At 39.2% G+C, this 9,363-nt stretch overlaps 1 annotated feature.

Annotated features, from left to right (window-relative positions):
- Nucleotides 650-836: a silencer, noted in NCBI's record as "fragment chr4:153165015-153165201 (GRCh37/hg19 assembly coordinates)". NCBI's record gives its function as "represses an EF-1alpha promoter that drives an FKBP-Casp9 reporter gene in an ReSE screen in phorbol 12-myristate 13-acetate-treated (for megakaryocytic differentiation) K562 erythroleukemia cells {active_cell/tissue: K562(+PMA)}" and the evidence as "EXISTENCE:reporter gene assay evidence [ECO:0000049][PMID:32094911]".

Genomic DNA, 9,363 nt, shown 5'->3' with positions numbered 1-9,363 from the left:
CTTCTCTACCTGGGCCCCTTCTCCCTTTGTATTGCTAGAGCCGACTGCTTCTTTTTCCAAGACTCCTTTTTGACACCCAAGTACCCCTCTTATGGCCCCAGACATCAATGCTTCCCCTCCTTGTGGTCCTCGCCACACAATATGCAGTCATCTCTTTCTTGTGGGTACCATGCCCAGGCCTGCAAGCTGCCCGAGGGAAGGGGCCTTGTCCATCGCATTTGCCATGCAATTGCAAATACAATGTTCAGCTCAGGCTATGTGTTCATGAATATCTGATGGGAGAATGTCAAATAAATGTCAGGCCCTGATGTATGTTGCTGGAAAAGGAAATGCATCAGCCCTTTCCCAGAGAAAATAAATTCCTATGATAAGACTTCTGCCCCATAATCCTTCATATATCACCAAGGCGAGCCAGCCACTTCCCATCCACTCCTATTTCTTCACTGACCTGGTACTGTACTGGGCAACTGCACACGGCCTTTCTAAGTGCACTTAGTGGATTGCTCCTTCCCAGTTTGCCATCTGGAGCCTTCATATTGTTAACAGAACATTCTTCAGACACTCATCAAACTCCCGGCATCAAGCACCTCTGTTCCAGCACGTGACTTCCTGTAACGGGTCCTGCCAACTTCTCACTAGTCTATTAAAAATAAAAGCACACCCAGAATGGCTCCCACGTCCCCTCTCCAGTGACCTCAACCCCATGACTAGGGAAACTGTGACTCAACCTCAGGAAAAAACACGGCTAGTGTCACTAGCAGAAACTAAGGATCCTCCTGGGCTGGCGCTGGGGATATTAATAAATCCAGTAGATTGGATCATTTGCCCCACCCGCTCTCTTTTCTTTAGGGAATTTGAATGTTCGAGTGCTTTAAAGTGGAGATAAAACGACCCATGATTCATGTTTCTGTCTTTCTGAAGAGTTTCCTTGTATAAGCTCCGACAACCTCTGCAGTTACTTGAAGGTTAATACTATTCTTTCCCAAAAAGGAGGAAACCATTTCCCTTTTCTATTCATTGCTTTCCTCCTTCTACACCTGAAAGGAGAGGTGAATTCTTTCCCCCTTTTCATTCTTAACAAGAGAATCTCTTTCGTACTCTCACTTGTCTGGAGATTTGAGCATTAAAAAAAAAATTGGTATAATTCTTCAGCTAATCCTTCAAGAAGACACTGCATGTATTTTTCCCCCTCTCTTTTGGTTTTTTTTTATTGGCTATTAGGCTAGCAAATTTTGGATTTGAGCAGTTCAGATCCTAGGCTAGCAACTTCCTGAGCTGATTGTGCAAAGCTCATTCACGAGAAAATGCCCTGAACTGCCTGGTCTCAGCACAGTTTTTTAAAAAACTCTGGTTCTGTTTTCTTAACTAGCCTCCAGCAGCTCTGAAATGGCAAGCACTAGCCAGCATTCATTCCCCTTGGAATTAAGGCAAAATCACTCACAACCTTGAGTACTTCCAGGACACCTGAGGGAGACTCAAGTTCTGGTACCCAGGAGTCAGGTAAAGTCCAGGAAGTGTGGTGTTCTTATTCACAGCAGACTTTCAGAGCACTGAAGGGCTTGGGGGCTTCAGGGTATTTTGTCTGTGACTTCCCAGCAGGACCCAGGACAAATGGCCATGCTCTGTAAACTACTGGCTCTGTGCTGCTGGTGGAGATACGGGATCCAGGACCCCAAATGTCTTATGAAGCCCAAGGCAAACTGAAGAGAAATTCCAGCTCCCAGAACTATCTATAGGAAAAGGTCTTGAGTTTTCAATTAAAATCTTTCTTTGAAGATTTTTGACTTGCATTAATTTCCAGAAAAAGTTCACTCGCTTTCCAAAGCAGTTTCCCTCCAAATGGTGGTTTGCTCTCTGAAGGGGAGTTTTAATACTGATGTCTGTCATTTATCTCTTACATCTTTCCTGAGAAGACATACTGTAAAAAAGCCATTAGGAAGCATGTCATATAATAGTTCCATCACCCTTAAAACATCTCCTGAGAGGCAGGGAAGGGGGCCTCTGAGAATGTATTCTCCTCCACCACTTCCCCTGTTTTAGAAACAGAGTAATAGAAACCCACATGTGTCCAGCGACGATGTGTGATGTCCAGTGTCAGGGCTGCCTCCTCCATTTGACAGTCTTTCTTCTCAAGATGATGCTTCTCTGCTCCCAAGAACCTAACTTGTGATTTTTCTTTGGTTTAAATGATTCTCACAGACCTCATTTCTATTTATATCACAAAGAGTCCCCCCACCCCCAACCCATACGTCTGGTTTTTGATTTAAAAATGTAATATAGTAACTTGGTTAAAAAAAAAAAGCCTAATACTATGAATTAACTTACAGTAAAAAAATTTCTAATTCCAAAGCCCCCGACCCCCTTGTTTCTCAGAGACCACCACACTTTCTTTAGTGTCCTTCCAGAAATATACTGTTTATAAGCATGCAAATGCATGTGTATGTACACACACACATACACACACATGAGTTTAAATTTCAAAGATTATTTTTCTAATAGAGAAATATAAAAAACCTTCAGAATTATATTAAATAAATTCTATAATTTCTAATGCTGGTCTGGCATGGGCAATGATAACAAATTCTATTACCAGTTCTCCATAGGAAAAGCGTTCTTTGTATTTTCATATATTCTATATATGAATATGTTCTATATTCATATGTATACATATACATCTATATCCTTTTGCTTTTATATAAATGTTAGTATATTATACACTTTCCTTGCTTTTCTAAAACTTTGTTTTATTTCTAGGAGATTGTTATTTCTCAATACATACAAATAAGCCTATCTTATTCTTTTATTAATTGTTACATGGCATTCTTTATTTTCTAATTGTTGGACAATTTAGGTTTTTCCATTCTCTTGCTATTGTAATACTACAATAAATATCCCCATGTAAATTGTCCAACATGTGTAAATATAGCCATGGAATAAATTTATAGAAGTGGACTTGTTGGGTCAAAGTGTATGTTTATTTAAAAATTTGATATACACTGACAAATTTTACTCCCCAGAGAAGTTGTTGCACATGAAACTTCACCAGTTATATGAGTGTTTTCTTACTAACATGGTATATTATCTAACTTTTTTGATTTTTATCAACTTGATAGGTTAAAAGTTGTAGCTCATTATTGTTTTAACTTGGTTATTTAATTTTAAATGAGATTGAGTATCTTATCTGTGTTGGAAAGTCATTTGCATTTCTTTCTTTGTCAGTTACCTTTTCATGATCTTTGCCCATTTTTCTATGAATTGTTGGCTTTTTTTCTTATCGATTCATAAGAGCTCTTTATATATTAAGGAAATAGACCAGTGATTCATGCTAGCTAAAGCTCCATTTTTCTTTACTTCTAATAACCACTCACTGCTCTCATATGTCCTTTTCCTTATTCTGTCTCCCACCCTGTCTCTCCTATGACTTCCTTGTATAATTAATTTGTCTCATATATAGGGAAAGGAAAGAAAGATGAGAGTCAGTCTTGCAAGGAAGGACACTTTTGAATGGCCAGTAAGTTTACATTTTACAAGATGCATATTAAGAAAATCTGAAGCCATTATCTGCCAACTATAGGAGTATCAAAAGACTGTTCTTCCTCTTGGTTGGTTCATGGCCACTTGGCAGCCTTGTATCTTGCTCATTAACTATAAATAACACTCACATTGAACACATTTTATAAACTTATATTTATGCCCCCTTCATTTTTTTTTCTCTTCTCTCACTCCTACTTCCAATTTTCTCTCAAATCGTGGTCATCACTTGTCCGGTGCAAGTAATATCTCTAGACTCTTAACTCATCATCTATCGAAGCAGGGTGATCCACATGCCGAGATTCTGATGGAGAGAAAGCCTCAGCTCTTGCTTGGGACTAGTCCTAGCCTTTTGTAGTAAAGTCCTTAGGCCACTCTTTCCTCTGACTGATTCAAGGATGTGGGGACCCCAGGGAAGTGTAGCTCCTCTCTCTATGGGTTCCTGTTGAGAACTCATCTTTCCAAATCATGGAAAAACCAATTCGACTTCAGCTAACATGGTAATGATTTGTGGGGAGCAGCAGAAATTCCCCTGTAATTATGTGTGAATTGATGTGTGATTTCCTAATGAGCTTAAGTGAAGAAATCATCATTTTGTGATAAATGCTTTATATCTTAAAATGCCAGCAACACATATCTAATAAATTCAATCAAACCACTCTCATTTATATAACATTTGCAATTATTATTTAACATGCTGGCTTTCTTTGCTGCTTTACTGCTTTGGGTAATTGCAGAGTCTGAAAGTTCCCTTTTTGTAAATAAAGCCACAGAAACTCATTATGTTGGAGTTTTTCTTAAAGCAATCATAAATGAGTTCATTTTGAAATGCATTTGCATGCTGTGCAGGCCAAGACCCCCTTATCAGAATATGTAGCCATTGAATGAGTTTGCTAAATCAGGGACATTTGTTCCCAGAATGAGTCGGGTCACTCTGAGACTGCAGCTTGGGCACTTAACCATGTCCAAACAAGTTGGGAAAAATATTTCAATGATTAAAAGATGGGCCCTTTTTACTGAAGATATGATGAGGGCCAGTGGAGTTAAGTGACATGACCAGAGGTCGCAAGGCAGCAGTGATAGAATCCAGCACAGAGGACAACATAACATATTGATTAAGGAATCAGTTCAAGATTCAGATTCTAGATGTGCTACTTCATAGCTGTGTGACCTCAGACAAATTACTCAGCCTCTCTAAGCCTCAGTTTACTCATCTGTCAAGTAGAGAGAGACCTATTGTTGGGAGGATTAAATGTGGCGGCCTATGTAAGAGCTCTAGGAACACTGCCTATCATATCACAAATGTTTGGCAAACAATTGCTAGTCATATAATTATTGATAGCTTCAACACTGATAAATATCAGCAGTAACAAAACTTACCCCTTCACCCTAAGCATTTTCCCTAGTGGCCAAGATGGTAATCGGTTCTGTTTGTGTCTTCTAAGGAGCTGAGAGGGTGGCAGAAGTTGAAAATAGTTTTATTCCTGGGGCCTAAGGTTATTTCCTGGTAAGTTGCACTGAGTAGGCTGCCAAATCCTAAATCTCCTTCACTTGAGATGAGTTAGAATTTGGGGTTTGGTAAATGGAGGCCCAAACTGGTTTTGAGACTCCTATAAAAATTAGTAGCAGTCAGCTCAAAGCTGGCAGGATATATTAGAAATCTACACAGTACTAGACTTCTTGGGGCCCCTTCTAAGAGACTCTGCCCCATCCACAGGCCCTGCTCAAGGGGCAGTTACAGGCAGCCATGTTTTGTGCTATGTGACTCAGCTCACCTCCTCCCTAGGCCACAGCTGATAGGACATGCATAGGCCTTTGACCAGGGGCAGTCCTTAGGCTTTGCAATGACATGGAAGACAGGCTGGACCAATTGTATTTCTTCACTCAGTAACTGAAACTAAACACCACCATGGTGGAACTGCAAAGGGATGAGATAGAACTGGATCTGAAGGGGCTCTCATGATCCTTGTGCAAGTTAAGACTGGACAGAAGCCAAGGGAAAGAAGAGGAAGGTCAGGGGAGTGAAGAAGAGAGCCTCCATGTGGAGAAAACAGGGTCAGTTGGAGAGAAACCAAGGATCTTGTTAATTCTGGGTGCAGTTCTGGTTCAGATGGTTTTCCAACTCCACACACAGTCTTTCCATACTTTGACAGACCCCGTGCCTTGAGGCAGCTTGACTTGAGTATGGGCTCTTCCTGTGTCCTCATAAGGGACCACTTCAAGCCTCAAGCCCAGCATGGGCTGCTGGAAGACAGCAGGAGTAGAATAAATACATAGGTAAGATAAAGGTCAAGACTCTTCTGTGGCAGCAGCAATATGGAGCATTGTTAATTATTCTGCAAGGAATTTGTTTATCCATTATTTTCCAGGTAACAGTGCAGACCTTGTAAACTGTAATAGAATGTTTGGTTTCTGATCATAAATGAATTTTAAAAATGTAAATTCTCAAGGTATTTAATTCTAATAGAATTCAAAGAACTTAAACTTCCATTCAAATAGAGAAATCTATTGTCCTTTTAGACAACTGGCTTTTTCATAGGTCCATCCAAGGACATTAAAGAAAACATATCTGAATGTTTCTTTGTTGGAGCCTGCCTCGATTTCACAGTGGCTCGTATTTTTTCCTAATAAACATCCCCTCTTTTCCATTTTTCCCCTGCCACCACAATACTACATTCTCTTCCACCTGAACTATTTTTAAAAAATAAATTTTATTATGCATATTTAAGGTATTCAACATGATATCATGGGATACATATAGAGAGTAAAATGGTTACTATAGTGAAGCAAGTTACCATATTTATCATCTCGCATAGTTACTCATTGTGTGTGTGTGTGTGTGTGTGTGTGTGTGTATTTGTGGCAAGAGCAGCTAAAATCTACTCATTTGGCAAAAATCACAAATACAATACAATATTATTACCTTTAGTGCTCATGTTGAACATCAGATCTCTGGGCTTGTTCATCCTATGTCTCTGCTACTTTGTGTCCTTTGACCTATTGAAGTATGCAGGTGGTCTCCCTAAGCTATGTATGTGGTAGGTGCTCATTAAGTGCTTGTTGCATGCTTCTGCTGTAGGCAAACAACCAAAACTCCTCAAAGCCATTTCTTCACAAAAGGAAACAAAACTTGAAAAAAAGTGTCTTATCATGGAAAATTTCCAACATATACAAAAGTAGAGAAAGTGGAACAATGAATTCACACATATCCATAACAGATCCAAGCATGATCAACTCAGGACCACTCTTGTTTCACATTATTTCTCTTGCCTCCTCTTCTTTCATGTGGATTTGGAAGCTAATCTAAGATATCACAATATAACACAAATATTGTTGTGTGTATTTCTAAAATAAAAGAATTATTTTAAAATATAACCGAAGTACTATCTTTACAATGAAATGAAATTAACAACAATTCCTTAATATTACTAACTATCCGGTGTTCCCAATTTCCCCAATTGTCTTATCAATATTTTTCTTTTTTTGAGACAAGGTCTTGTTCTGTTGCCCAGGCTGAAGGGCAGTGCTGTGATCATAGCTTGCTGCAGCCTTAACCTTCCGGAAACAAGTGATCCTCCTACCTCAGTCTCACAAGTAGCTGCGACCACAGGCACACACCACCATGCCTGGCTAATTTTTTTATTTTTTGTAGAAACAGGGTCTCACTATGTTGCCCCCGCTAGCCTCAAACTCTGGAACTCAAGAGATCCCCACACCTTGGCTGCCCGAAGTATTGGGATTACAGGTATGAGCCACTGCACCCGGCCCAGTGATTTTTATAGTTCATTTTTTGGAAGCCTATTTCAAATAAGCCCAACACCTTATAAAGGCTGATATGTTGCTTAACTGTTTCAATTTTTAAGAATGTCTCGGTCAGGCGCGGTGGCTCGCGCCTGTAATCCCAGCACTTTTGGGAGGCCAAGGCGGGCGGATCACGAGGTCAGGAGATCGAGACCAGCCTGGCTAACATGGTGAAACCCCGTCTGTACTAAAAATACAAAAAATTAGCCGGGTGTGGTGGCGGGGTAGTCCCAGCTACTCAGGAGGCTGAGGCAGGAGAATGGTGTGAACCCGGGAGGCGGAGCTTGCAGTGAGCCGAGATCGCGTCACTGCATTCCAGTCTGGGTGACAGAGCGAGACTATCTCAAAAAAAAAAAAAAAAAAAAAAAAAGACTGTCTCCTTCTTTTCTTCCTCCTCCTCTTTCATTCTCTCCCTCTTTTCCTTGCAGTTTAGTCTTTGATCTAAACTTTATTTCATCTTCAAAGTATTCCACAGTCAAGATTTTGCTGACTACATCTTTATGATGTACTTAAAATGTAATTTTATCCATTGTATTTTTTTTAAAATTGGTTTTTCGATCTAGAATGAAGTCTCAATAAGATTCAGGTTCAACATTTTGGCAACACTTTAAAGATGACATTGTGCACCTCCCACAAGAGGCACATAATGACTTTTTGTCTCCCTTTTTGCAATGTCAGCAGCCACTGATGATCATTCCTAATTCTATTATTCCCTCTTCATTTATTAACACATATTTTCTAAATTCGAACATTTTATCAGTGGTCTAGTTATCCTGAAATGTTGAGATGTAATTCATGCAGGAAAGGCAAGATAAATGCTTGGTTCAAAGTTGTTTGCTGGTTCCCTAGTTGTTTGTTGATCCATTAAATGTGATCAATGAGTTTCTTTCTCAAGTATTATTCTGGATTCAGGGATTTAAACATATTTGGTGTGTTTCAATCCACTGCAGTTTTTTTTTCCATACTGATGGCCATATTATTCCACTTTTGTCTCTGGGGAGCCTCTGCAAGTTGGCTCCTGGGTTCTTTTGACCTGGCTCCAGTGGTCTTTGATGTCTTGCGTGCTGTCTGATATAACAAGATGTCCCAGGCTCATCTTGTACAGTTCCTACCCTAGACCTGGAATTAGCTTTTTCTCTTGGAGAAATCAGTTATTCCCCCTGGTTCCTTTTAGTGGAAATGGCATTTAAAGACCACAATCTGGACGCTAGGAATATTCAGTGGTACAGGGTTGGTTTTTATTTCTGGGCTTTTTCAGAGTAAATATGCATTTTTTCAATCTATTTTTTAATTTTTAAAAAGAGGTTTTTTTTTTTAAAGAGCAGTTTTATGTTCTCAGAAAAATTGAGCAGAAGGGACAGAGATTGGTAAGAGTATGTTTAGCTTTGTTAGAAACTGCCAAACTGTCTTCCAAAGTGGCTGTACCATTTTGCATTCCCACCAGCAGGGAATGCGAAGATCCTGTTGAGAATTTCTGTTGCACCACATTTTTACCAGCCTTTGGTATTGTCAGTGTTAGGATTTTGGCCATTCTAATGAGTGCGTAGTAGTATCTCATTGTTGCTTTAATTTTCAGTTCCCTGATGACGTATGATGGGGAACATCTTTCCATATGCTTATTTGCCATCTGTGTATCTTCTTTAGTGAGGTGTCTGTTAAGGTCTTTGGTCCGTCGTTTAATGGGGTTGTTTGTTATCATCGAGTTTTAAGAGTTCTTTGTATATTTTAAATAATAGTCCTTTATCAAATATGTTTTTTGCACATATTTTCCCCAGTCTGTAGCTTATATTTTAAAGATAAAATATACTTTGAGTTCTTGCTGATACTTCTAATTCAAATTCAGGACTACAGAGTATTTAGTTAATCAATCCTACATTTTAAATTCATTGCAAATTTTTTTTTAGTTTGTCACTCATTTTCTTTCTTTTTTACTTTGCTTACGTGGCTTCTCACCATACAAAAGTGTTTTGTTATTTTAAGTTGATAAGTAATGATTTATTCATCTGTTCCTTATTTCATCTGAATTTTGAG

The sequence above is a fragment of the Homo sapiens genome, chromosome 4 (genome assembly GCF_000001405.40).
Source record: "Homo sapiens chromosome 4, GRCh38.p14 Primary Assembly".
NCBI classification, from domain to species: Eukaryota; Metazoa; Chordata; class Mammalia; order Primates; family Hominidae; genus Homo; species Homo sapiens.
The sequence above is the reverse complement of the archived record's forward strand: the minus strand, read 5'-3'. Positions and strand labels throughout refer to the sequence as shown.